The 27,020-nt window shown below is 53.6% G+C and overlaps 1 protein-coding gene across 3 annotated transcripts in view, besides 3 other annotated features; it reads left to right on the top strand.

Moving 5' to 3' along the window:
• Window positions 1–22,514, top strand: part of MUC4 (mucin 4, cell surface associated) — a 65,159-nt gene extending 42,645 nt beyond the window's left edge. For all 3 annotated transcript variants that reach the window (NM_138297.5, NM_004532.6, NM_018406.7), the window contains 19 exons: window positions 133–263; window positions 2,534–2,622; window positions 3,836–4,015; window positions 4,163–4,288; window positions 5,121–5,240; window positions 5,644–5,852; window positions 6,340–6,430; window positions 7,031–7,198; window positions 7,700–7,801; window positions 8,168–8,401; window positions 10,024–10,161; window positions 11,957–12,138; window positions 14,913–15,072; window positions 16,055–16,234; window positions 16,839–16,912; window positions 18,014–18,078; window positions 18,173–18,396; window positions 20,221–20,383; window positions 21,905–22,514. In NM_138297.5, coding sequence (NP_612154.2) covers window positions 133–263; window positions 2,534–2,622; window positions 3,836–4,015; window positions 4,163–4,288; window positions 5,121–5,240; window positions 5,644–5,852; window positions 6,340–6,430; window positions 7,031–7,198; window positions 7,700–7,801; window positions 8,168–8,401; window positions 10,024–10,161; window positions 11,957–12,138; window positions 14,913–15,072; window positions 16,055–16,234; window positions 16,839–16,912; window positions 18,014–18,078; window positions 18,173–18,396; window positions 20,221–20,383; window positions 21,905–22,109 — 2,841 coding nt within the window. In that variant the 3' untranslated portion in view covers window positions 22,110–22,514. The remainder of the gene's footprint in view (window positions 1–132; window positions 264–2,533; window positions 2,623–3,835; window positions 4,016–4,162; window positions 4,289–5,120; window positions 5,241–5,643; window positions 5,853–6,339; window positions 6,431–7,030; window positions 7,199–7,699; window positions 7,802–8,167; window positions 8,402–10,023; window positions 10,162–11,956; window positions 12,139–14,912; window positions 15,073–16,054; window positions 16,235–16,838; window positions 16,913–18,013; window positions 18,079–18,172; window positions 18,397–20,220; window positions 20,384–21,904) is intronic.
• Window positions 220–721: an enhancer, noted in NCBI's record as "H3K4me1 hESC enhancer chr3:195495435-195495936 (GRCh37/hg19 assembly coordinates)". NCBI's record gives its function as "activates a minimal SCP1, AML or CMV promoter by ChIP-STARR-seq in primed H9 embryonic stem cells {active_cell/tissue: H9 hESC(primed)}" and the evidence as "EXISTENCE:reporter gene assay evidence [ECO:0000049][PMID:30033119]".
• Window positions 6,634–7,135: an enhancer, noted in NCBI's record as "H3K4me1 hESC enhancer chr3:195489021-195489522 (GRCh37/hg19 assembly coordinates)". NCBI's record gives its function as "activates a minimal SCP1, AML or CMV promoter by ChIP-STARR-seq in naive H9 embryonic stem cells {active_cell/tissue: H9 hESC(naive)}" and the evidence as "EXISTENCE:reporter gene assay evidence [ECO:0000049][PMID:30033119]".
• Window positions 21,577–21,743: a silencer, noted in NCBI's record as "fragment chr3:195474413-195474579 (GRCh37/hg19 assembly coordinates)". NCBI's record gives its function as "represses an EF-1alpha promoter that drives an FKBP-Casp9 reporter gene in an ReSE screen in HepG2 liver carcinoma cells {active_cell/tissue: HepG2}" and the evidence as "EXISTENCE:reporter gene assay evidence [ECO:0000049][PMID:32094911]".

Genomic DNA, 27,020 nt, shown 5'->3' with positions numbered 1-27,020 from the left:
CTTTGCTGTGGGCAGACCAGGAACAGGTGCTGTGCGTGTCAGAGCAGGGCTGTGGGACGGGCGGGGGGACATAAGAGAGGAGACCCCGGATCTCTCACGGGCATCCCTGTGTTTTCTTCCACCCACCCCCAGAGCAACACCTACCAAGCCATCCTCTCCACGGACGGGAGCAGGTCCTATGCCCTGTTTCTCTACCAGAGCGGTGGGATGCAGTGGGACGTGGCCCAGCGCTCAGGCAACCCGGTGCTCATGGGCTTCTCTAGGTAGGATGGGAGGGGCTGTCAGCACTGAGCAGTTGGCAGGGAGGGGTGTAGAGTCGGCTTTCGCTGCACACACACTCCCATCCTGGGGCAAGGCGGGAACCCTCCTGGCTGGTGCTTCTGACTCACGCTGACTCCAGCTCCCGCTGGGGCCAGGCATCTGGCTGCTTCCCACGACAAGATCACCCATTTGTCCGCCATGCCCTTTCCCATCCCAGTCCCCGTGAGTTGTAATCATTCCCAGAGCTTTGGCTTCCCTGATTTCCACTGACATTAGCTGGCCTCTCTTACCTTCTCAAATATCGTGATAATAACAGCCAAGACTGATGACACTAACACTTCGTGTACATTACTGCATGTCATGATCACAGCCACCCCACGAGGCAGATACTATTTATCATCCCCATTCTACAGATCAGGAAACTGAGATACAAATAGACTAGCAATTTGCCTAAAGTCCCAGAGCTGGGAAGTGGCAACATGGAGATTTGAACCCAGACATCTGAGGCTAGAATCTGCCTTCCTGACTTCCTGAGAATTACCCACTTATCCAGGGGGCACCCAAAAGCTTATATGGAGCCGGTGGTGAAGGGAGAGAGGAGGCACGGGGCTGTGGGCGGTTGAAATGTGGATTCCCGTGTGTGGGAGGCTGTCTCCGATGTAGCAGTGCGCCATCTCTGTTCCCATATGCTGGGGTGTGGCAATCAGTACGAAGGCCACATGTCTTTTGTTCTTGATAATTGCTGCAAATGTCTTCTCTTACATTGAGTGTGTTCAGGTTACCCCTTTGATTACACTGCTTTCACTAGTTTCTTGGTGTGCTATGAAGGAGAAAGGAGGGGAATTACCCAACTCTAGGAATTTCACACGGTCCAGGTACACCCAAGGAAGGTGTCACGCAGGGGTGCATCATCCTGCTTGTGTCAGGGAGGAGGAAAAGCCCAAGAGTCCCCACTCTGCAGCAGGCACCCAGGGTGGGGCTGCAGGCGGCTGCTCCAGGCTTTCCTCCTTCCCGGGCCATGCTCGGACCCCACACCTGGGGACGGTGATGGCGATAGTGGTGGTGGTGGTGGTGGTGGTGGTGGTAGTGGCGGTGGAGGTGGCAGTGGCGATGGTGATGGTGGTGATGGTGGTGGTGATGGTGGTGATGGTGGTGGTGTTGGGGGTGATGGTGGCGATGGTGGTGGTGGTGATGGTGGTGGTGGTGGTGATGGTGGTGATGATGGTGGTGGCAATGATGGTGGTGATGGTGGTGGTGGTGGTGATGGTGGTGGTGGCGATGGTGATGGTGGTGGTGATGGTGGTGGTGGCCGATGGTGGTATTTTTTGGGGGGTGGCCAGTGATGGTGGTGATGGTGATGGTGGTGGTGGTGGTGGTGGCGATGGTGGTGGTGATGGTGGTGATGGTGGTGGCAATGGTGATGATGGTGGTGGTGGTGATGGTGGTGGTGATGGTGGTGGCAATGGTAATGGTGATGGTGATGATGGTGGTGGCGATGGTGGTGGTGATGGTGATGGTGGTGGTGATGGTGATGGTGGTGGTGATGGTGATGGTGGTGGTAGTGTTGGTGGTGGTGGTGGTGATGGTGATGGTGATGGTAGTGTTGGTGGTGACGATGATGGTGGTGGTGGTGGTAGTGCTGGCGATGGTGGTGGTGGTGGTAGCAGCAGTGGCAGCATCTGTTGTATCAAGGCCTCACTCAGTTCTGAGGGATTTGCAGATGTTACTGCATTTAATCCTCACAATACAGTGAGGTAGATGCCACTGTAATCCCTTTTATACAGATGTGAAAACTAAGAATCAGAGAGGGTCAGTAACTTGTCTGTGGTCACCAAGCTAGTAAGTGGGGGGATCAGCAGTTGAATCCATCACTGCCTAACTCCAGAAACTGGGTCTTAACCATCACAATACACTGTCCCTAGAGTCTGTCCCGCTCCAAACCCTCTGCTTGTTGAAGGGAAACAAACAGAAATGAGGCCTGAACTCTGTTGTTTTCACGCCCCTGTCTCATGACCAAGCGGACCTGCCAGTTTCTTGCAGCTAGCGATCAGATGTGGAATCGGTTAGAGCCTCCTACCTCTGCCCAGCCATCTTGTCCCCTCTCCTGCTCAGTGCTGGGGCTTGACGATGGGGGCTGGCTGACCCACTGACCCACTGCCCGCCTAGCTGGTTGACCAGCTGCTGACCGGCTAGCGGGATGAATGGACGCCTTGCAACCGCGAGGCAAGAGCCTGTGCACGGCAGAGGCCTGAGAGTCTCTCCTTTCCTGCAGTGGAGATGGCTATTTCGAAAACAGCCCACTGATGTCCCAGCCAGTGTGGGAGAGGTATCGCCCTGATAGATTCCTGAATTCCAACTCAGGTAAAAGTGCCACCTTATCACACCTGAGCTGGTCTCAAGCCCTCGCGTGTCCTCCAGCCCATACACCATCGCAGTCCTAGAGGGCACCTCCCTAACATCACGGCCATCCTGAAGGGCCTCCCCCACACAGTTCAACCTCCTACAGGTCTAGGTGGGATGTGGCACCACCCAGGGAGCAGCTGGCACCTCCTGCACCCCTGGACACAGCACAGTCTCAGAGGGGGCTACATCTCCTCCCTCAGATGAACCAGCCCAAGAGGGCTCTCGGGGGGCCCAGATCCTGGAAGTGAGGACAGGGTCTTGTGGGAGGTGGGATTTGAATGGGCAGTTCAGACAATACTCCAAGTGTCCTGTCCAGAGCAGGAATGAGAACCCAGGTGAGATCCTTTAAGAAAATCTACCGGCTGGGCGCCATGGCTCACACCTGTAATCCCAGCATTTTGGGAGGCTGAGGTGGGCGGATCACTTGAGATCAGGAGTTCGAGACCAGCCTGGCCAACATGGTGAAATTCTGTCTCTACTAAAAATACAAAAATTAGCCAGACGTTGTGGTGCACACCTGTAATTCCAGCTACTCAATAGGTTGAGGCAGGAGAATTGTTTGAACCTGGGAGGTGGAGGTTGCAGCGAGCCGAGATCGCGCCACTGCACTCCAGCCTGGGTGACAGAGTGAGACTCCATCTCAAAAAGAGAGAATCCACCAAGAAGAGGCCCGGGGGTCTCACGTTCATTGTCATCATTTACTGGGCACCTGCCGTGTGCTGGACACCGTGCTAACAGCCAGAAACAAAGGAAAAAGACCAACTGTGTTTTCTCTCAAAGAGCTTTCATGCGGGTAGAAAGACAAGCGTCAAGAGGCAAACAATGGCGCCTTCTCCATGACTCAGTCCAGAGGCCCCAATGGGAAAGAAATAATAGTTTCCAAAATGTGATAGGTTGAAGGACATTTTAGCCTTAGAAACCAGCCACGTGAACTGTGAAGTGTAAATCCAGTTCTATTTGTTCTGTGGCAACCACGTTTGGTCGTCAGAAGCAGACGCTAAGTCAAGCGAGGGGCTTTGGGGGAGGAATTGTTGCCCATCTGACTTGGGTCCAAAGAGGTGAGAAGTGGCAGGAGGGGGTGCATTTGTGAGTTTTGGTTGACCCTAAAGCTGAGACAGGGCCTGCAGCCCCAGCCCTGGATAAGCCCTTTCCCCCCCATCCCCGACCTCAGGCCTCCAAGGGCTGCAGTTCTACAGGCTACACCGGGAAGAAAGGCCCAACTACCGTCTCGAGTGCCTGCAGTGGCTGAAGAGCCAGCCTCGGTGGCCCAGCTGGGGCTGGAACCAGGTCTCCTGCCCTTGTTCCTGGCAGCAGGGACGACGGGACTTACGATTCCAACCCGTCAGCATAGGTGACACCTCCTTCCCGCCCCCCACAAGCCCACCCACCACCCTCTCTGCTCACGCCCTCAGCCTCTCCCCAGAAACAGCCCCTGCTTGTTCCCACCCCGCCCCTGGCAGCCCCAGCCTGGGCCTGAGTGGGACTGGACTTGTTTCAGGTCGCTGGGGCCTCGGCAGTAGGCAGCTGTGCAGCTTCACCTCTTGGCGAGGAGGCGTGTGCTGCAGCTACGGGCCCTGGGGAGAGTTTCGTGAAGGCTGGCACGTGCAGCGTCCTTGGCAGTTGGGTGCGTGAGTCCGTGATCTCAACCCCACCTTCCCGGCCAAGTAGGGGACCCTCAGCATGAAGCCTCTCGTCCTCATTCCTTCCCAGACCCTTCCCCTCTCTGGGCCTCCACTTCCTGATCGGGTAACGTTAGGAAGCTTCCAACATCCCCACCAGCGGACATTCGGGGATGTATGAGCTGAGAGCCTCTTTCCTCATCTCTATACCTGGCTCCACATCCCCAGGCCAGAGTGGGGCCATTTCTCCAGGCAAGAAGAGAGCGCCTAGGCTGACCCCGTCCCTGTAGACCCAGATGAGCAGGATGTTTGGGGGAAGACTGAGAGTCAGCTCCCACAGAGACGCTCCAAGGGAGCTGGAGAGCGCAGGGGTGTGGGGTCACGTGGTCTGTGTCCTCCCGTTCTCTCCCCCGTCCCATGGCAGTTTCCACAGTTCCCAGACCGTCAGCCGTGCCCTCCCCACTCCCAGCACGTTGAGAGCAGCAGTACTTGGCTCTCCACCCTCAAGACAGGAAATTTGCTTAGCTCCTACCATGCGCCCTGCTGCACAGTGGCCCCAATGCCTGCAAAAGAGACAGCACCCTATTCACTGCCCAAGGTCATGAGAAGGGCCATGCTGGATTCCAAAGCCATGCTCTTGCCACCAACACCGCCCTGCCCTACCAAGCTCTCCACCAACACCGCCCTGCCCTGCCAAGCTCTCCACCAACACCGCCCTGCCCTGCCAAGCTCTCCACCAACACCGCCCTGCCCTGCCAAGCTCTCAACCAACACCACCCTGCCCTGCCAAGCTTCTCCAGGTCCTCAACCTCCCCGACTCACTGCTGTTCTCCGCAGCCCAGGAACTGGAGCCACAGAGCTGGTGCTGCCGCTGGAATGACAAGCCCTACCTCTGTGCCCTGTACCAGCAGAGGCGGCCCCACGTGGGCTGTGCTACATACAGGCCCCCACAGCCCGGTGAGCGACAGGGCCCAGGCCCAGGAAGAGCCTCTGGGGAGGGGGAGCTTCTGGGCTTCCGGGAGGTGGCATCTGGATAAGGAGTAGGGGCAGAGCTGTGGCCACAAGGGAAGATGGAGATGACGCCAGTGATGGGTGGATGGTCAGTGGAGGGGCTTTGTACCTGAGTTGGGGAAGGAGTGAGAATAGCGGGGCACGAAAATGCAAGGAGGCTTGAGGGGAGGATTCTGTGCTCTGTGAACATCTCCCCAGCTGAGTCCGCCCGGACAAGTGCCCCAGTCGACTGCAGTGAGGAACCTCACCCTGAGTCCTCCTGGACAAGTGCCGCACCTGACTGCAGTGAGGAACCTCAGCCCTACACATGATTTGTCATGCTGAGGCAGCATCTCTTTTTTCCTTCCAGCCTGGATGTTCGGGGACCCCCACATCACCACCTTGGATGGTGTCAGTTACACCTTCAATGGGCTGGGGGACTTCCTGCTGGTCGGGGCCCAAGACGGGAACTCCTCCTTCCTGCTTCAGGGCCGCACCGCCCAGACTGGCTCAGCCCAGGCCACCAACTTCATCGCCTTTGCGGCTCAGTACCGCTCCAGCAGCCTGGGCCCCGTCACGGTGAGTGAGGGGTGCCGGGAACCTCCCTGCATTCCACCCACAGGGACCTTCAGCCACATACTGAGGCCGAGGAGAAGGAAGAGAGCGAAGGAGGGGAAGCCGGGCAGGAGGGAGGGAGGACACAGCCCATCCACGCAGCTGTCCCGGAGTAAATCCTGGGGATGGTGGATTAGGGCTCTGGCCCCACGGTTTCCCAGCTGCTTGGCTTCGAAGAAACTACTTAATTTGGTTTTCTCCTAGTAAGAATGGGGATGACATTACCTGCCTCACGGGCTGTTGTAAGAGCTAAAGGGCATAATCCGAAAACCATGCCTGGCCCTGCCGAGCACACGGTAGACGGCGGCTGGCATCACCTCAGGCCGCGGCCTCCAGCGCCTTCCTCCCGGCCCAGGGCGCAGCTTCCAGCCCCAGGGGCTCTCCCAGCTGCTTTCCTGGGCGTCGGCTCCACCTGCGGGTCGGGCTCAGGCCCCCTCCCATCTCCTTCCAGGTCCAATGGCTCCTTGAGCCTCACGACGCAATCCGTGTCCTGCTGGATAACCAGACTGTGACATTTCAGCCTGACCATGAAGACGGCGGAGGTAGGTTGGGGAGCGCCGGCCGCCCCCTCCCCGCACCGGGAGCAGCGAGGTGGGCGGGAAGCCGCGTTGCGGTGCAGGGCCGGGCGCGTGGCGGTGCAGGGCCGGGTGCGTTGTGGTGCAGGGCCGGGCGCGTGGCGGTGCCGCGCCGAGTGCTTTGCGGTGCAGGGCCGGGTGCGTTGTGGTGCAGGGCCCGGTGCGTGGCGGTGCAGGGCCCGGTGCGTGGCGGTGCAGGGCCGGGTGCGTGGCGGTGCAGGGCCGGGTGCGTGGCGGTGCAGGGCCCGGTGCGTTGCGGTGCAGGGCCGGGTGCGTTGCGGTGCAGGGCCCGGTGCGTGGCGGTGCAGGGCCGAGTGCGTTGTGGTGCCGGGCCCGGTGCGTGGCGGTGCAGGGCCCGGTGCGTGGCGGTGCAGGGCCAAGAGAGCGCAGCCTCTACCCCCGAGCGGGGCGTGCAGCTCGCCGGCCTCTTCTCCGCCTCCAGTGCAGACCCCTCCCGGCTTCAGCCCCAGGGGCGGGGTGGGGGTGGTGCGGGCCCGGCAGGGCGCGGGTTTGGTGCGGGCCGTGGTGCCGACCTGGCTTCCTCTCCGCTGCCTCCCGATGCTCCAGGCCAGGAGACGTTCAACGCCACCGGAGTCCTCCTGAGCCGCAACGGCTCTGAGGTCTCGGCCAGCTTCGACGGCTGGGCCACCGTCTCGGTGATCGCGCTCTCCAACATCCTCCACGCCTCCGCCAGCCTCCCGCCCGAGTACCAGAACCGCACGGAGGGGCTCCTGGGTGAGGGCGGCTCGGACCTGCCTCTGAGGCTCCGCGGAGCCAGCCGGAGCTCGGACCCCCACGCCGGCGGCCCGGGCAGCCCTGCTCGGCCTCCCTTTCTCCGCCTCCTTGGAGCAGAACCCTTGGGGCACAGAGCGGGCCGGGAGCCGAGGGGCTTCTCCAGCCTCCCCCGAGGCTCCCTTCCTGTCCTCCGCCCGCTCTAAGGGAGCATCAGGGGGGGCTGCGGGGAGGCGGGGGGCACAGCCATCCTTTCTCCCTTTCCTCTTGCCTCCCACATCCTCCCGCCCTCCTCCACCGCTGCCCGCGTTTCCTCCCGCCCCTCCCGAAGGCAGACGGGCAGGGTGTGAGGGCCCGTCCTCCCGGCTCCCCTGGAGGCCTGACAGCAGGTGCAAGAGCAGAGGCTGCCAGGCCCTGGCCTCTCCCCACTGCGTCCGCCGGATGCTCCCCAGGAAGGGGACAGCCGCGTGCCCAGGGTGGCCAACCTCCCACTCTGTCCCTCAGGGGTCTGGAATAACAATCCAGAGGACGACTTCAGGATGCCCAATGGCTCCACCATTCCCCCAGGGAGCCCTGAGGAGATGCTTTTCCACTTTGGAATGACCTGTGAGTCTGGGCAGGGTCCTGGGGCAGAGGGGCAGGTGAGGGGAGCCGGTATGTTTATGTCGTCCCCCTCGGCCCTGTAGGAAGCAGACCTCCATCCTCCCTAAGGTCTGAGGAATCTGTGCCCCCCCAGGGCTGTCCCCACCACCACCAGCCCACCTGCCTCTCTCTACCTGGAGGAGAGAATGGGGGACGTGGAGTGTCCTCTCTCACTGCAGCAGGTGTTTCTAGACTCAGAAGCTGGAAACCGCTCTGGCCCTGCACTCCCACCGCCCCGCTCCAAGCCATCTAAAGTGAGGGGTAGAGGTGGACACAGATGGAATAAGGCTGAGTGCCATGCCTGGTACCACCGCGCTCTGTGTGTTACAGGGCAGATCAACGGGACAGGCCTCCTTGGCAAGAGGAATGACCAGCTGCCTTCCAACTTCACCCCTGTTTTCTACTCACAACTGCAAAAAAACAGCTCCTGGGCTGAACATTTGATCTCCAACTGTGACGGAGATAGCTCATGCATCTATGACACCCTGGCCCTGCGCAACGCAAGCATCGGACTTCACACGAGGGAAGTCAGTAAAAACTACGAGCAGGCGAACGCCACCCTCAGTAAGTGGCCCGAGGCCTGGGGAGGCCTTTTCAGAGTCGGGAGCAGATGAGGAGCTGCCCTTGCCTGACCCTGCTTTTCCCTGTGCATCTGCATTCACTGAGCAGATTCTTCCACTCCTGGCATTCCTCTGCTCAAACCCTTCAGAGACTTCCCTGGCTCTCTCCATCCTTGCAGTGGCCTTCGGCCCAGTTCAGCTTCTCAGAGCTCTTCTCCTAGTGCTGGACGCCTTCCCAGCCCCCTCCGTCCATCCTAGCGCTGGATGCCTTCCCAGCCCCCTTCACTCCATACTAGCGCTGGACGCCTTCCCAGCCCCCTCCACTCCATCCTAGCGCTGGACCCCTTCCCAGCCCCCTCCATCCATCCTAGCGCTGGATGCCTTCCCAGCCCCCTCCACTCCATCCTAGCGCTGGACCCCTTCCCAGCTCCCTGCACTCCAGCCCCGCAGGCTCCTCTGTGTTCTTCAAACACGCTAGGTGCGCTCAGCTCCCAGGCTTCACACGTGCTGTTCTCTTGCCTGGAATACCCTTCCTTCCCTGGACAGCCACACGCTTGCCCCTCACCTTCTTTACGTCTTCATTCCAATGTCCCCTCCTTGGTGAGGCCTCTCTTGGCCGCCCTGTCTAAAATGTCACATTCACCCACACTTCATGTTTGCCTTCCCTGCTTTATTTTTTTCTCCTTAGCATTTATAATTACTCAACATATTTTATAATTTTCACAGGTATCTTTTTAATTATTCATTCATGACTGTATCCTCACCACCCAGAACAGTGCCAGCCACTTAGCTCAATAAATGTTTGTTAAATGACTGACTGAATGAATGTGTGAAGCAACTATGAAATGGAAATGGCAGGGCTCCGAGAAACAGACCCGTGAAGAGGTTTCACTCCCTCTCTATTTCTGGACAAATGCAATGTCCCTTTAGATGTGACCCTCCAGGTTTTGTGCGTGTGTGTGTGTGTGTTGACGGAGTTTCGCTCTTGTTGCCCAGGCTGGAGTGCAGTGACGTGATCTCGGCTCGTCGCAACCTCTGCTTCCCGGGTTCAAGCGATTCTTCTGTTTCAGCCTCCTGAATAGCTGAGATTACAGGCACCCGCCACCATGCCTGACTAATTTTGTATTTTTAGTAGAGACAGGGTTTCACCATGTTGGTCAGGCTGGTCGCGAACTCCTGACCTCAGGTTATCCACCGGCCTCGGCCTCCCAAAGTGCTGGGATTACAGACATGAGACACCCAGCACCCTTCAGGTTTTCAGCCCTTTGCCAAAGGTACAACCCTTTGGTCTAAGGGTACAACCCTTTGTAATGGTCCAAACAAATCTGCTCTCTAATTCACTTTTTGTCATACCCAGCATAGCACTGTGTTCAGGAAAGAATCTGAAAGGAGCTCTTTTTGAGGAGGTGGGGGGAGAGAAAGAGGCTAAAGATTTGGCTAGGTGGGCAGTACAGTCCCAGCCTGCTGTGCGTCAGTCGAGAGCAGGTACACAGAATAATTCCTTCTTCCAGAGGTGGGTCACAGTCCTGGGAATGCCTCACACATATTAGAGTTGAGAAAGAGAGGAGGCTGATAAAGCAGGAGACTGTCCTGCCTCGGAACCCCCATTCCCTCTTTGTGTTTCAGATCAGTACCCGCCCTCCATCAATGGTGGTCGTGTGATTGAAGCCTACAAGGGGCAGACCACGCTGATTCAGTACACCAGCAATGCTGAGGATGCCAACTTCACGCTCAGAGACAGCTGCACCGACTTGGAGCTCTTTGGTAGGACTATTTGGCTGGCTGGGGAGAGTGGGGAGGTGGGTAGGGGATGAGGTCAGAGTCAAATTTGGGAAATTCTGCATTGCTACACCCAGCAACACTTGCTGTCACTCTTTCATTTGAATATCCAGGACCGGCATTTCCGAGGAGCGATATCTATAACTCAAATAGGTGCCCCCCAGTAAGTAGTAGTGACGGGCTTACGGCGGTTTGGCCAGATAGCTAGAGTGACTCTGGGCACATAGAACTGATTCAAGGCTGGGCGCGGTGGCTCATGCCTGTCATCCCAGCGCTTTGGGAGGCCGAGGTGGGCGGATCATCTGAGGTCAGGAGTTCGAGACCAGTCTGGCCAACATGGTGAAACCCCGTCTGTACTAAAAATACAAAAAAAAAAAAAAAAGCCAGGCATGGTGGTGCATGCCTGTAATCCCAGCTACTCAGGAGACTGAGGCAGGAGAATCGCTTGAACCCAGGAGGCAGATGTTGCAGTGAGCTGAGATCGCGTCACTGCACTCCAGCCTGGTGACAGAGCGAGACTCTGTCTCAAAAAAAAGATTTGAAGATCATTTAATCTCAATCTGATCATATATAGTCATCTTTAGTCATTATGCATTCACCAAATTATTAGAATAATCAAGTGCAACATTTAAAATGACCAATTTACAACATTTTTATATCTATTAAAGGAAGGCTCTAATGTAGGACAAGATTTAAAGAAATATGAAAAATACTTTCGTTTGGTACCTTTCTTGCTCTTTTTGTCTGGCAACCATGTTTACCTAGCCGTGTCTCTCCTTGTCTGGTTTCCTGGGCTAGGACCCAGTAGAGTGCCATCGCTCCCTCTCCGTAAAGGTGTTAGAGACCCCGAGCCCTACATCCATGATCAGGGCCAAAGGCTCCAAGCACAAGGGACGCTGCTTTCGTCTGTTGCCAGCACTAATTCAAAGGGTCCAAGGGCATCAAAGGGATGCCACTTTCTGTCTGTTGCCAGCACTAATTCTGAGGGTGACTGTTCTTGGCTAAACCAAAGCCCCGGGGGGCATATTTTGCGTTCTCTTTGCCTCTCTGCCTGATGTTCTTTCTCTCTGTGTCTCAGAAGGGACTGCTTTGCCTGCATCCCTTTTGCCCCATGTGCGTCCTCCCAGGTGCGAGACAATGGCACTGAGAGGTTTTCTTCTCCACGGGCCCCACCCCTGAAGGACGATGGTCTGGAAATTACGTTCGTCTATTCTCTGTCACTTCCTTTCAATCTGCTGTTTTAAGGAGACTTTCCTATTTTCTTGAAAAATATCAGTTTGATCTGAAGATATGTAGTAGTGTTTCACTACAGTCTGGTGTCTGAAGGGGGTGTCTGGGAAAGGTCCAGGAAGTGGGGGGTGGGTGAGAAATCAGGGCAAAGGATGGGGCTGCCGTGAGAGTGAAGCCAGTTTGGCCGGCAGCGCAGCCTGGGGAGGTGTCTGGAGGATCCTGGCCTTGATCCTCCATCCCCCAGGATGTCCCATCCTGGTGTGAGCCCAGCCAGGGCTGCCCTTTGGGGTTTCTTCAGGAGGAAACTGCTTTCCCCTCTGTGGCGTTCCCCGCTACAATCAGTATGTTGGACTGGTGCCACGTCCTTCCAGCTGGGAGCGTGACCAGGATCACCCCCGATACCAGCCTTGCTCAAAGGAAATGACCAATGAGATTTGTCTGGGGAGGGGGAGGGTGGCCTGAGAGGGGTGGGGGAAGCCCCGTATCAGCAATCAGACCACAGAGCCGAGGAGTCTCCCAGCTCTCAACATTCTCATCTTCCCCGGGGCAGAGAATGGGACGTTGCTGTGGACACCCAAGTCGCTGGAGCCATTCACTCTGGAGATTCTAGCAAGAAGTGCCAAGATTGGCTTGGCATCTGCACTCCAGCCCAGGACTGTGGTCTGCCATTGCAATGCAGAGAGCCAGTGTTTGTACAATCAGACCAGCAGGGTGGGCAACTCCTCCCTGGAGGTGAGTGTTGGGAGGTGGGGGAGGAGTTTCTGTGCCGAGGGGAGAGGAAATGGGAGTGGAATGGATGCTGTGATTCTGCCTGTCCTGGGTGTGTCTGTGTTGGGAGATGGGTGGAGCAGTGGTAGGTGAGTAGAGCAGATTCCAGTCTCAGGCCACAAACTCACATGGGAAGAAAGAGAACTTTCTGGCCGGGTGCAGTGGCTCACGCCTTTAATCTCAGCACTTTTGGAGGCTGAGGCAAGCGGATCACAAGGTCAGGAGATCGAGACCATCCTGACCAACATGGTGAAACCCCATCTCTACTAAAAATACAAAAATTAGCTGGGCGTGGTGGCAGGCGCCTGTAGTCCCAGCTACTCGGGAGGCTGCGGCAGGAAAATCGCTTGCACCCGGGAGGTGGAGGTTACAGTGAGCCAAGATTGCGCCATTGTACTCCAGCCTGGGCAACAGAGTGAGACTCTATGTCAAAAAGAAAGAAAAGAAAAGAAAAGAAAAGAAAAGAAAGAAAGAAGGAGGGAAAGAAAGGAAAGGAAAGAAAGGAAAGGAAAGAAAGGGAAAGGAGAAAAAGAAAGAAAGAAAGAAACTATATTGGAGAAAAAGAAGGACGAAAGAAAGAAAAAGGAAGGAAGGAAGGAAAGAGGAAAGAACCTTACTTTATTGCTTATAGTTCAACTGGATTTTTATCTCCCACCTCCCCTTCTGCCAGGTTGGCAGGAAACTTCCACCTCCGTCTTTCTCACAGCGCCCCACAGCTCTGCGGCGAAGCCCAGCAGAGGGCCCTGCGGTGTGGGGTGGAAGGTGGTTGTGGGTCCCTGGGCGTGAGTCCACACAGGTTTCCATCACAGCTCCGCCCCACTTCCCCTTCAGACCCAGGGAGAGGCTCTGCTGCTTCTGTGCCTTGCTCAGACACAGGACACCTTTTCTGAGGCCGCTTACAGTCCTGTCTGCCTAGAAGCACCCCACAGTCATTTCTCCCTAGGATGTCATCATCACGGTGCTGGGAAGAGAGCTGCGGGTCCCTCTATCTTGACACCTCCAAGCCCCTTTGCTTTCTCTTTTACTATCTCCTTCCAGCTAAAAGAAACATCTTTTCCAGTTTGGAGAAACTACTTCTCCATGTTTCTAGCCAAGATACTTGGCCTAATTCCACGACTCTTGTCCTATCTGCTTTTTTATTTTTATTTTTGGTTGTAAAGGAAGAGCCAGAAAGGAAAGTGTTTATCTGGCAACACAAAACTACCTCCTTCACCACTTACACACACACGCATGCACACGCACACACAGACACACACACACATCCTTCTGAAGCATGAGCAGAGAATGGGTACTCGAAAGGGATAGAGGTAGGGACGGTTGGTGGGGTAGGGGGTAGAAAAGCATAAAATACACAATGGGAAAAAGAGATTGAAATCAATATACTATTCCACAGATCCCCAAATATCCACTCTTGGGAGTAGCAAGTGTTAGAGGATTCCATTTTAGGGAGATTCCCCGAGTCGCTTCAGTAAGGGAGTTAGAAAGGGGAGCGCAGGGAGCTTGGTGAGGTCTCGGCGCCGCAGCCTTTGCTGAGCTGCTGTACTGGCTGCTGTGTTTTCTCACAGTGCTCAGCAGGGAGGCTCTGTCTTCTTGGTTTGGGAGTCAGCAAGGGAGGTCAATTTCAGCTTATATGAAATCCAGTTTGCAGGCCACATAGGAGCCTGAGGCAGGCGGATTGCTTGAGCTCAGGACTTTGAGACCAGCCTGGGCAATATGGCAAGACCCTGTCTCTACTAAAAATCAAAAAATTAGCTGGGCGTGGTGGCATATGCCTGTAATCTCAAGTATTTGGGAGGCTGAGGCACAAGAATTGCTTTAACTTGGGAGGGGGACATTGCAGTGAGCCGAGATCGAGACACTGCACTGCAGCGTGGGAAACAGAACGAGACTGTCTCATTAAAAAAAAAAGCAGAAGAAAAATACAAAAATTAGTGGGCGTGGTGGTGCATGCCTGTAGCCCCAGCTCCTCGGGAGGCTGAGGTGGGAGGATGGCTTGAACCTGGGAGGTGGAGTTTGCAGTGAGCCAAGATCAAGACATTGCACTCCAGCCTGGGCAACCGAGTGGGACCCTGTCTCAAAATAAATAAGGAATCCAGTTTTCAAGCAATAGGACATACATGGATACATACACACATGGATACATACACACATGGATACACACATATGGATACATACATGGATACATGCATACATGCATGACACACACATACATACATGGATACATACATGGATACATACATTGATACATATCTACATGGATACATACATGATACATACACACATGGATACACACATGGATACATACATGCATACATGCATGGATACACACATACATACATGGATACATACATACATGGATACATACATCTATACATGGATACATTCATTCATTCATTCATGCTTCAATCATTCATGCATCCCCCATCTTACTCTAGAAAGGATTTCAGGCAAAGAGCTAGAGTGTGAGAGGGAAGAGGCTGAGATCCTGGTGCAGGGCCAGGCAGGGGGTCAGGGTAAACAATGACCCAGGGAGGCCAGCTGGGCAGGACTACCGTGTGGCTTTAGGCAGGGCCTTGCCGCCCCACGGCCTGGTCAAGAAGGTGCTCAGCAGGTGCTGGTGGGGCTGAGACATGACTCAGGGTCCACGGGTTCTCAGGCCAAAGGGGTCAGTCAGAAACACCCAGAAGCCCTTCCCAGTTTGGTCTCCTGGCCGCCCGTGATCGGCAACCCTCCTCCAGGTGGCTGGCTGCAAGTGTGACGGGGGCACCTTCGGCCGCTACTGCGAGGGCTCCGAGGATGCCTGTGAGGAGCCGTGCTTCCCGAGTGTCCACTGCGTTCCTGGGAAGGGCTGCGAGGCCTGCCCTCCAAACCTGACTGGGGATGGGCGGCACTGTGCGGGTGAGCCGGGAACAGGGCCTGGAGCAGGCGCTTCTGGGAGCAGCTGATAGCTCAAGGGTGTAGACAGCCAAAGGCAAACCATTTCTCTCCTTTTTCCAGCAGATCTTTAGAATGCTCAATCTAGGCAGGTGTGGGAAATCTAGGCAGGTGTGGGAAATCATCTAGGCAGGTATGGGAAATCTAGGCAGGCCTGGAAAGGGGGTGGTGGATGGTGTGGGGCTGAAGGAGAAGAGGTTGTACAGGCATAGGGGAGGGGACGGGGCTGGGCATCCCTGAGGCATTGATGGGGGGAGCCCCGGGCGAAAGACTGAAGATGGTTTGGGGAGGAGACTTCAGCAGCCGCCAGAGAACCGGGCAAGCTGGGTCCTCGGGATCCCTGGGGATCTTCAGAGACACGAGGCTCAGGATCTCTGCATCTCACGAGTCAGGACGTTTGGAGGGGCTGGCGTGGGGATCCGGCAGCAAAGGTGCCTGATTTTCCCTTTGAGTCCTCCCAGCCATCTGTTCCTCCCGCTCTGAGTCACCAGAGTCTGATGAGGGAGATCACAGCGAGGCCTTTACCAAGCCCCCTAAGGCACCCAAATAAAATCTACAGATCACTGTGCCTTCAGAGCCGAGGCCAGAGTGGGTAGAACCGCAGCTTTTATAAAGGCAGAAAAGGAGATGGACGTGAGAGGGGAGGGCGTGAGGAAAGCCAGCTGGGGGCCCCTCCTCTGCCAGCCTTCGGGGTCCTTTCTGAAGCAGAGGGTCTGAGAAACACTCCAGTCCCTCCACAAAAGTGGAAGAATACCTGTCTGGCCGGGGAAAGGGGTTGCCCTGCAGAGAAACGCCTGGAAAAGGGGGGAAGGATGGTTTGGGGTTCCGAGTGGCCCGAAGTGGAACACTGGGGGAAAGCAAGCCTGTCCCGGAGCGGGTTTCCACGGGCTGGGCCGTCCCTCTGCTGCCCTGCGCGCTGCTGCTGACCTCCCTACTCACTCTGCAGCTCTGGGGAGCTCTTTCCTGTGTCAGAACCAGTCCTGCCCTGTGAATTACTGCTACAATCAAGGCCACTGCTACATCTCCCAGACTCTGGGCTGTCAGCCCATGTGCACCTGCCCCCCAGCCTTCACTGACAGCCGCTGCTTCCTGGCTGGGAACAACTTCAGTCCAACTGTCAACCTAGGTACCGCCAGAGACCCCGCCCTCTCACCCCCGCACTCTTCCTGGGCCCCACCCTCTCACCCCCGCACTCCGCCCACCTTTGGGGAAGATGAGGAAGCTCTGGGGTCACAGGACAGAGCTCCAGATTTCTCTGGGATGGTGTAAGGTGCGGGCTATGGGAGCTGGCGAGGCAAGCTGTCACGGCAAGGACCACGGGCCTGTGTGGCCTATGGAGGAAGGACGGAGGCAGAGACCTCACAGCTGGCTCAGTGAGATGAGCGCTGGGGAGGCCCGGAGCATAGTGGAGTGAGCCCTAGCGTGAGGGCCACTTCTCCCGGTTTCTTCAGCAACCTTCTGTCACTGTGGAATGTAGGGTGAGGGCCACTTCTCCCGGTTTGCTCAGCGACCTTCTGTCACTGTGGAATGTAGGGTGAGGGCCACTTCTCCCGGTTTCTTCAGCGACCTTCTGTCACTGTGGAATGTAGGGTGAGGGCCACTTCTCCCGGTTTCTTCAGTGACCTTCTGTCACTGGAATGGAGCAGTCAACTTGGGCTGGCCCGACAGACTTTTTGGGTAAGTCTGGGTAAACCGTGGGGTGATGATACATTTGCTTCTCCCATCTCCAGAACTTCCCTTAAGAGTCATCCAGCTCTTGCTCAGTGAAGAGGAAAATGCCTCCATGGCAGAAGTCAACGCCTCGGTCAGTGCTGCAGGCCGCGCTCTGGGTGGGAGGGGGCGCTTGGCGGGTTCAGGCCAGGGCGGAACCATCGCTGTGCGGCCTTCATCTTGTCATCCATCTGGATTCAACTGCCAGAGGAGGCCGGAGCCTCTTGCCCCATGGGAGGTGCAGGGCATTAGGAAGTGAGGAAGGCCCAAGACAGAAACCTCGACTCATCATAAGCAGAGGCCAGGGTGCCAAGTCACCCCAGCCGAGACCTCTAAGCATCTTGGTTATGATCTGAAAGAAACTAAAGGACATTTCACCTCCCGGGAGTCTTCCCTGACTTCCCAGAGGGAACGGGCGGCTCCCTCTTCTTGGCTGCCATGCCATACCTCAGTCACAGGCAAAGTGGCACAACTGCTGAGTGGTTGGGGCTGTAGAATCCTGCACACCCAGAATCAGAATCCCTGCTCTGCCCCTCACTAGAGCAGGTGTGCTAACTAGACACATCATATAACAGGTCATCTGTAAACACAGGGACAATCATAGCACCTGAGTCAACAGGCCGTATCACCGTTTAAATGATAACGCGTGTCAAGCATTTAGTCCAGTGCCTGACACACAAGTATTCAAACATGATGACTGCTATTATCACTACTGCAAGCCTAGCACTCCCCACTCCACACTCCACACGGTAAAATCTGTTGACATTTGTCACCTGCGCCAGACAATGCACTCTTTGAGTTTAGACTCCACCTAAGTCACCTTGACACCCCCAGCCCCGACCATCTCCTAGGTCTAAACAACCCATGTTCAATATACTGGGGAGGAGGTCATGAGTCATGTGTCAGAGGCAAGGTAGGGGCCATTCATGTCAGATTCTCTGCTCGTCATATGAGGCTGAGGGGGGGACAGAATGGAAAACCCTTCACTCTCAACAAACATTATTAAGCAAGGACCCATGACACTCACTGAGCTAGGCTAGAGTGCAAGGGTGCAGAGACAGGTGAGGAAGGTGCTGGGGTCCTGGGGCTCCCGTTCCAGGAGGAAACAGGGATGAATACACCCATCAAGGTGGGAGGGCGTCTCCCCCCCGGATGGGGCCTCACCCCCACCCCCATCTGCCATCCTCTAACCTAGGTGGCATACAGACTGGGGACCCTGGACATGCGGGCCTTTCTCCGCAACAGCCAAGTGGAACGAATGTAAGTGGGACTGTGTCCCCCTAAGCCCCCAGATCTCTTCCTCATCCCCCACCCCCAGCCCCCCACCCCCCCTCACCGTTGCCCTCCCACACAGCGATTCTGCAGCACCGGCCTCGGGAAGCCCCATCCAACACTGGATGGTCATCTCGGAGTTCCAGTACCGCCCTCGGGGCCCGGTCATTGACTTCCTGAACAACCAGCTGCTGGCCGCGGTGGTGGAGGCGTTCTTATACCACGTTCCACGGAGGAGTGAGGAGCCCAGGAACGACGTGGTCTTCCAGCCCATCTCCGGGGAAGACGTGCGCGATGTGACAGCCCGTGAGTCCGTCCATTCCGGGGACACTATGGGGGTCACTGCGGGGGGCGGGCAAACAGAGGTGCTTCAGCCCACACAAACAAGCTAATTGAGTTTTTCTGTTTGTTTGGTTTTGAGCGAAAACGTGAACATTTTGTCCAGCTGCTTTTTAGATTCGAGAGCAGGAGCAGCCAGCACTGCTGAGGCAGTCACACGTATACAGCTTCACGGAGCAAGCACCCAGCCAGGGCCTTGCTGACTGTGGCTGCTAATAAAACAGCAGCAATTTAGTTTCATAAAATTGCTAATAGTTTTCTTAAAATGCCATTGCACTTAAGCATACACAGGGACACCCCCATCGTCTCTGCTCTCCAGCGGGAGGATATGAAGCTGGAGACTGGAGACTGGCCAGGGACAGAGGCAACTACTCCCTGAAATGGTGTCACCCTGTGCAAGCACCTTCCCCAGGCCAGGCCAGGCCTCAACACCCCCCAGCACCTTCCCCAGGCCAGGCCAGGCCTCAACACCCCCCAGCACCTTCCCCAGGCCAGGCCTCAACACCCCCCAGCACCTCCCCGAGGCCAGGCCTCAACACTCCCCAAGCACCTTCCCCAGGCCAGGCCTCAGCACCCCCATCTGAAAATGAGATGGGATTTCTGAGCCCCCTTTCAGTGCTGACAGCCCCCGGTTTTCCTGGAACAGGAATAAGTTGGCAAGCTTGTCAGAGAAACAAAGGAATAACACGTCCTATTTTCTGTATAGGGCAGAGAACAGGGCAGGGGCCGCCCCAAACACAACAGGAACTGCTGTTTTACTTGGGTCTGGGACCAAGCAAGAGCTTCTCCCAGAATCCAGGCTAAGCCCGCTCTCTCCCGGAGCAGGGGGTGAAATCCCTCAGAACTACTGTATGTTGGGGAGTTGGGGTAGGAGGCGCAGGGAGGCAAGCCCTGACTATGCAATTAAGGAAAACCTATAATTTTTATTATACAAGCATCGTATGTTTATTGCAGAAACTTTAGGAAACACAAACTTAACAAAAAGAAAAGAGGAAAAAAACCCTGTAATCCCAATCCCCAGAGAGACAACAGTATTTCCTACATATCCTTCTGAACTTTCTTTTATGCCTAGGAACCTTCAGACATCCATTTTTTACTGAAGGATCAAATCATTCCTAATGTTGGAAAACCTCCTCATTAAACAGTTGTGAACAGGTTGTCTCATATATTCTGTCCACATTCCCATTTGACATATTATGATGGTATGTTTGAATATAGTGTCATATTTTAAAATACATTATAATAATCATTACCATTGTTTGAGTGCTTACTGTGTGTCCGGCACTGTACTGAGTACTGTGGACACATTATCTCATTTAAATCTCACAGCAGCATAAGTGCTATTATGATCATTTCCTTTTAAAGATAAGGAAACTGAAGCTGAAAGAGTGAAGGAATGTTCCCTGAATTACACATCTAGTCACTAGCAGAGTTTCAGTTTCCACCCAAGTCTGGCCACCTTCAAAGCATGTGCTCTTCAGGAAAGCATTTTCCATAGGAACCTTTTTCCACAGGAACCTTTTTCCCTAGGAACCTTTTTCCCTAGGAAACTTTTTCCATAGGAAGCACCATCCCTTGGTAAGGATGTGCAGTAGTTTATTTAACCAGACCCTACTTCTGAAACGTTACTATTATCCACCATGCTGATCTGAACGTCCAGGGGCATATGTATCTGTGCACTTCTCCAATTATTTCTCAGGATAAACACCCGAAAAGGAATTCGTGGCTGAAAAGGTACTGATTTAGTGTTCATCGGTTGCTTTCTGTGTTAATCTGTGTCCTTCCCGACAGTGAACGTGAGCACGCTGAAGGCTTACTTCAGATGCGATGGCTACAAGGGCTACGACCTGGTCTACAGCCCCCAGAGCGGCTTCACCTGCGTGTCCCCGTGCAGTAGGGGCTACTGTGACCATGGAGGCCAGTGCCAGCACCTGCCCAGTGGGCCCCGCTGCAGGTGCATAGGGCTGTGGCCAGGAGGTGGAGGACAGTGCTGGGGAACCCAAGCTGGGCAAGACACTGCAAGGGGTCCAGGAATTAGGATGGCTCGAGAGATCAGAGACCAGGGAAGAGAGGACAGTGGAAAAGGAGAGTTGTGAGTGCCTGCTCTGTGTGGAGAATAAAGGCGCTATATTACAAACTCTGAAACCCAAAAGAGCCATAGGGGGGCTTAGAACTATTTCGAAGATGAGAAAACTGCAGCTTAGAGATGACAAGGAACCTGCCCCAGGACGCAGTAGGTTAAGCAGCAGGGCATGGTTTCCAAAGCCAAACATTTTTTATATTTTTATGTTTTGAGATGGAGTGTCATTTGTCGCCCAGGCTGGAGTGCAGTGGTGCGTTCTCGGCTCACTGCAACGTCCTTCTCCCGCGTTCAAGCGATTCTCCTGCCTCAGCCTCCCGAGTAGTTGGGACTACAGGCATGCACCACCACGCCCAGCTGATTTTTGCATTTTTAGTAGAGACGGGGTTTCGCCATGTTGGTCAGGCTGGTCTCGAACTCCTGACCTCAGGTGATCCGTCCACCTTGGCCTCCCAAAGTGCTGAGATTACAGGCGTGAGCCACCGCGCCAGGGCCCAAAGTCAAACCCTCCCACCTGATCTGGCTGCTGCTTCCCTGCTGTCTCCTTGTGGGAAAAGAACCTGCAGTCCTGTGTCTAGGCCAGTCCTGCCCCTCAGTCAAGCGAGGCGCCTTTGCCCCTGCCCTCATCAGCAGTCCCCGGGGCTCCGCTGGTTAACAGCGCAGGAAGCCGCGGCCCCACGCAGACCTGGGCTCCGGGCCCTCCGCCAGCTGCAGTTCCAGATCCCGCCGAAGGAGGGGGCGGGCGGAGCGCGGGTGGGGCGGGGCCCGGCTCTCCGGGTGGGCGGGGCGGGGCGGGGCCGGGCTGGGGCGGGGGTGTGACTGCGCATGCCCACCTGTGGCCGGCATCCCTGCCGCCCAGGTGCAGCTGACTGCACGTGCAGCTGAATTCACACCAGGTTTTTGTTTTTGTTTTTTGAGACGGAGTCTTGCTCTGTCCCCCAGGCTGGAGTGCAGTGTTGCAATCTCGGCTCACTGCAACCTCCACCTCCCAGGTTCAAGCGATTCTGCCTCAGCCTCCTGAGTAGCTGGGATTACAGGTGCGCACCACCACGCCTGGCTAATTTTGTATTTTTAGTAGAGATGGGGTTTCACCGTGTTGGCCAGTCTGGTCTCGAACCCCTGACCTCAAGTGATGCGCCCGCCTCAGCCTCTCAATGTGCTGGGATTACAGGCGTGAGCCCCCGCGCCGGCCCAGGCCCATGTTTTTAAAGCCCACACCTGCCTCCTTTGCCCAGTGGTCTCACTTCAGCACGGCCTCAGGGCTGACTCAGTCTCTCCGGAGAGTGGGGCGAGCCCAGCCTCTCCTACAGAACCTCTTCTTCCCCAGCAGAAGAGGAGGGGCTGGGAGGCTGAGCTCCCGCCTCTGACCGCCTGTCTGTCTCTCTTGGTCACCAGCTGTGTGTCCTTCTCCATCTACACGGCCTGGGGCGAGCACTGTGAGCACCTGAGCATGAAACTCGACGCGTTCTTCGGCATCTTCTTTGGGGCCCTGGGCGGCCTCTTGCTGCTGGGGGTCGGGACGTTCGTGGTCCTGCGCTTCTGGGGTTGCTCCGGGGCCAGGTTCTCCTATTTCCTGAACTCAGCTGAGGCCTTGCCTTGAAGGGGCAGCTGTGGCCTAGGCTACCTCAAGACTCACCTCATCCTTACCGCACATTTAAGGCGCCATTGCTTTTGGGAGACTGGAAAAGGGAAGGTGACTGAAGGCTGTCAGGATTCTTCAAGGAGAATGAATACTGGGAATCAAGACAAGACTATACCTTATCCATAGGCGCAGGTGCACAGGGGGAGGCCATAAAGATCAAACATGCATGGATGGGTCCTCACGCAGACACACCCACAGAAGGACACTAGCCTGTGCACGCGCGCGTGCACACACACACACACACACACGAGTTCATAATGTGGTGATGGCCCTAAGTTAAGCAAAATGCTTCTGCACACAAAACTCTCTGGTTTACTTCAAATTAACTCTATTTAAATAAAGTCTCTCTGACTTTTTGTGTCTCCAAAACCAGGAATTCCATTCTTGATTTTCTTCTGGTGGCCGAAGGGCTGGACACAGACTTCTCCCAACCATCAGAGGGCACAGAGTGTGGAGGTTAAGTGCTGGGCAGCAGTGGAGCATTAGGGGCAGCTGGATCCAGTCCTAATCAGCCCGGTTACCCATGCTGGAAACCCTCAGTTGCTCCACCCCAACCTTGCTTCATGCTCCACATCACCTTCTTCTTCCCCCACCCCAGCACAGGCCAAAGCTTCGCCCGCTAAGGAGGAGAGCGAAAGAGATACCCCAAGATGGAGTGCCCCAGACTCTCTCCCAGGACCCCTCCCTGCCTGCCTGTCCATCAGTTTCACAAAAGTCGTAAAAGGATCAATGCACAGTGTGTTTACCTGTCTGGTGGCTGTCCCCACCGCCTGCGTTTCATGGAAGAGCGATTAAACCATTTCAGCTCCCTTTCCAGGAACCAACTCAAGAAACATGCCACCACCCCACCCTTAGATCTGGAGGGCCCGACCCCTCATATACCCTCTCTGTCCTTTCCCGGACCCCAGATGGAGTCTTCTGAGGTTCTCCATCCCACAGCCCTTCACCTCTACCCTGCCTCCACTTGCCCCAGCAACCTGATCAGCTTCCACAGAATCCTCTCAGCAGGCGGGACTTTTACACCTATCTGGTGTAATAACTCCAACACAATTGGTCCACAATTCCTGTGTCTAGAAAATCTCAATTCCAACTTTATGCAGAAACTAGGTAGCTGCCTCTTAGTTCTAAATCCCAAATCCCTGAAGAGAGAATCTGACTGGTCCAATTTACATCAGTTGTTTATGCCTGGTCCAATAAAATGTAGTCATGGGGTCAGAAAGGAGGTCACATGGTGCAAAGCAGGTGTTCAAGCTCATTCTTGCGGGTGGGTAAGTGCTGTTGAAGGAAGCTCCCAAAGGAATATCTTTGGTTGGGCACGGTGGCTCACGCCTGTAATCCCAACATTTTGGGAGGCCAAGGCGGGCAGATCACTTGAGGCCAGGAGTTTGAGACCAGCCTGGCCAACATAGTGAAACCCTGTCTCTACTAAAATACAAAAATTCGCTGGGCATGGTGGCACACGCCTATAATCCCAGCTACTCAGGAGGCTGAGGCAGGAGAATCTCTTGAACCCAGGAGGCGGAGGTTGCAGTGAGCTGAGATTGTGCCACTGCACTCCAGCCTGGGCAACAGAGCAAGACTCTGTCTCAAAAAAAAAAAAAAAAAAAAAATATATATATATATATATATATAAAGAATATATATATAATCTTTGTATTAGGGTTCCCTAGAGGGTCAGGACTAATAGGATAGATGTATATATAAAGGGGAGTTTATGAAGGAGTATCGACTCACACGATCACAAAGTGAGGTCCACAATAGGCTGTCTGCAAGCTGAGAAGCAGGGAAGCTAGTCTGAATCCCAAGATCTCAAAAGTAGGGAAGCCGACAGTGTAACCTTAAGTCTGTGGCAGAAGGCCCAAGAGCCCCTGACAAACCACCAGTGTAAGTCCAAGAGTCCAAAAGCTGAAGAACTGGAAGTCCGATGTTTGAGGGCAGGAAGCATCCAGCACGGGAGAAAGATGAAGGCTGGAAGACTTAGCCAGTGTAATCCTTCCACATTCCTCTGCCTGCTTTATTCTGGCTATGCTGGCAGCTGATTAGATTGTGTCCACCCAGACTGAGAGTGAGCCTGCCTCTCCCAGTCCACTGATTCAAATATTAGTCTCCATTGCCAACACCCTCACAGAGAGACACCCAGGAACAATACGTTGCATCCTTCAGTCCAATCAAGTTGACACTCAATATTAACCTTCACAGTCTTTGATCTGAGCAGACTCCAAACTTACATGGAGAATGACTTCTCCCAATAGGTGAAGCCACTCTCCTACATACAAAGCTGTAGCTTTACCCTCATATGCCCCAAAGTGGAATGTAATGAAGTCTCCATACAAAACTGCAGTCACAGCATTCATTTATCAAGAAGCAAGCACACAGCACAGATGAGTTCGCTGGTGAATTTTAGCAGATATTTAAGGGGAAATAATACCTATTTTCTGCAATCTTTTCCAGAAGATAGAAGCAGGAGGAATACTTCCTAAGTCATTTGTCACTGTCACCCTAATGCCAAAACGGGACAAAGACATTACAAGACGACTATAGACCAATATATCTCACATAGATGCAAAAATTACCAACAAAATATTAGCAAATACAGTTCAACAATATGTAAAAAGAATTATAGGCCATGACCAACAGAGATTTATCCCAGGTATGCAAGACTGGTTCAATATTCAAAAATCAGCTAATGCAATCCGTTACATCAACAGGCTAGAGAAGAAAAATCACATGATCGGCCAGGCATGGTGGCTCACGTCTGTAATCCCAGCACTTTGGGAGGCCGAGGCAGGCGGATCACGAGTTCAGGAGATCGAGACCATCCTGGCTAACACGGTGAAACCCCATCTCTACTAAAAACACAAAAAATTAGCTGGGCGTGGTGGTGGGCGCCTGTAGTCCCAGCTGCTTGGGAGGCTGAGGCAGGAGAATGGTGTGAACCCAGGAGGCGGAGATTGCAGTGAGCCGAGATCACACCACTGCACTCCAGCCTGGGTGACAGAGTGAGACTCTGTCTCAAAAAATAAATAAATAAATAAATAAATAAAAGAATATCTACAAAAACCTACAGCTAACATCATCCTTAACGGTGAGAAATTAGATGCTTTCCCCTAAGATTAGTAACAAGGCAAGAACGTCCCCTCTCACCATCGATTCTCAACATCCTGCTGGAGGTCTTGGCCAATGCAACTAGACACAAAAGGGAAATAAAAGGTATACAGAATAAAAAGGAAGAAACAAAACTGCTTTGTTCACAGATGACACAATCATCTATGTAAAAAAATCTAAGAGTTGACAAAAGGAAAAAACCCCAGAACAAAGAAGCAATTTCAGACAAGTTTCATGATATAAGGTTAGTGTCCTAACGTCAACAGCTTTCGTGTGTGCCAGCAAAGAACAATTGGAATTTAGAATTAAAAATATTTGAGCAAGACAGGAAACAAAAAAAGAAAAATGAATAATAAAATTAAATACATATGACCATTTACATTAGCATCCCCCAAAATGAAATACTGAGGTGTAAATGTAACAAAATATGTACAAGATCTATATGAGAAAAACTATAAAACTCTGATGAAAGATATCAAAGAACTTCATAAATGGGATGACATTCTATGTTTATGAACAGGAAGACTCTTTTTTTTTTTTTTTTTTGAGATGGAGTCTCCCTCTGTCACCCAGGCTGGAGTGCAGTGGCACCATCTCAGCTCACTGCAACCTCAGCCTCCCGGGTTCAAGCAATTCTCTTGCCTCAGCCTCATGAGTAGCTGGGATTACAGGCACACACCACCACGCCTGGCTAATTTTTTTTTGTATTTTTAGTAGAGATAGGGTTTCGGCATTTTGGCCAGGCTGATCTCAAACTCCTGACCTCAGGTGATCCACCCTCCTCGGCATCCCAAAGTGCTGGGATTATAGGTGTGCGCCAGCACAACAGGCCAGAAGACTCAATATTATTAAGATAGCAGTTCTCAATATTATCAAGATAGCAGCAGATCAAGATAGCCAACTTGATCTACAGATTCTACATAATGACACAATCTTAATCAAAATCCCAGGAAGTTATTTGTAGATATGGATAAACTGGCTCTAAAGTTTATGTGGAGAGGCAAAAGATCCAAAATAGCCAAATCAATATTGATGGAGAATGGTCAGAGGACTGATACCACCTGACTTCAAGGCTTACTCTAAAGCTATAGTCATGAAAGCAGCATGATACTGGCAAAAGAATAGACAAATAGATCAATGGAACAGAATAGAGAGCCCAGAATATTAAAAGTAATATTTCTAATAGACCTGTATAAATGTGTCAACTGATCTTTGACAAAGCAGCAGAGGCCACACAATGGAGCAGAGATAGTGTTTTCAATAAATGACGCTGGGACAACCGGACATCCACAAGCAAAAAAAAAAAAAAAAAAAAAAAAAAAAAAAAAAAAATCTAGACACAGACCTTATACCTTTCATAAAAACTCAAAATGAATCATAAACCTCAATAAAATGCAAAACTGTAAGACTCCCAGAAGATAATATAGGAGAAAATCTAAATGACCTTGAGTATGGTGATGACATTTTAGATACAATAGCAAGGGCATGATCCATGAAGGAAATAATTGATGAGCTGAACTTCATTAACATTAAAAACTTCTTCTCTGTGAAAGGCAATGGCAAGAGAATGAAAATATTTGCAAAAGTCCCATCTGATTAAAGACTTTTATCTAAAATATACAAAGAGCCGGGTGCACTGGCTCAGACCTGAAATCCCAGCACTTTGGGAGGCTGAGGTAAGCGGATCAATTGAGGTCAGGCGTTGGAGACCAGCCTGGCCAACATGGTGAAACCCTGTCTCTACTAAAAATACAAAAATTAGCT

Source organism: Homo sapiens, chromosome 3 (assembly GCF_000001405.40).
Source record: "Homo sapiens chromosome 3, GRCh38.p14 Primary Assembly".
Classification (NCBI taxonomy): domain Eukaryota; kingdom Metazoa; phylum Chordata; class Mammalia; order Primates; family Hominidae; genus Homo; species Homo sapiens.
The sequence above is the reverse complement of the archived record's forward strand: the minus strand, read 5'-3'. Positions and strand labels throughout refer to the sequence as shown.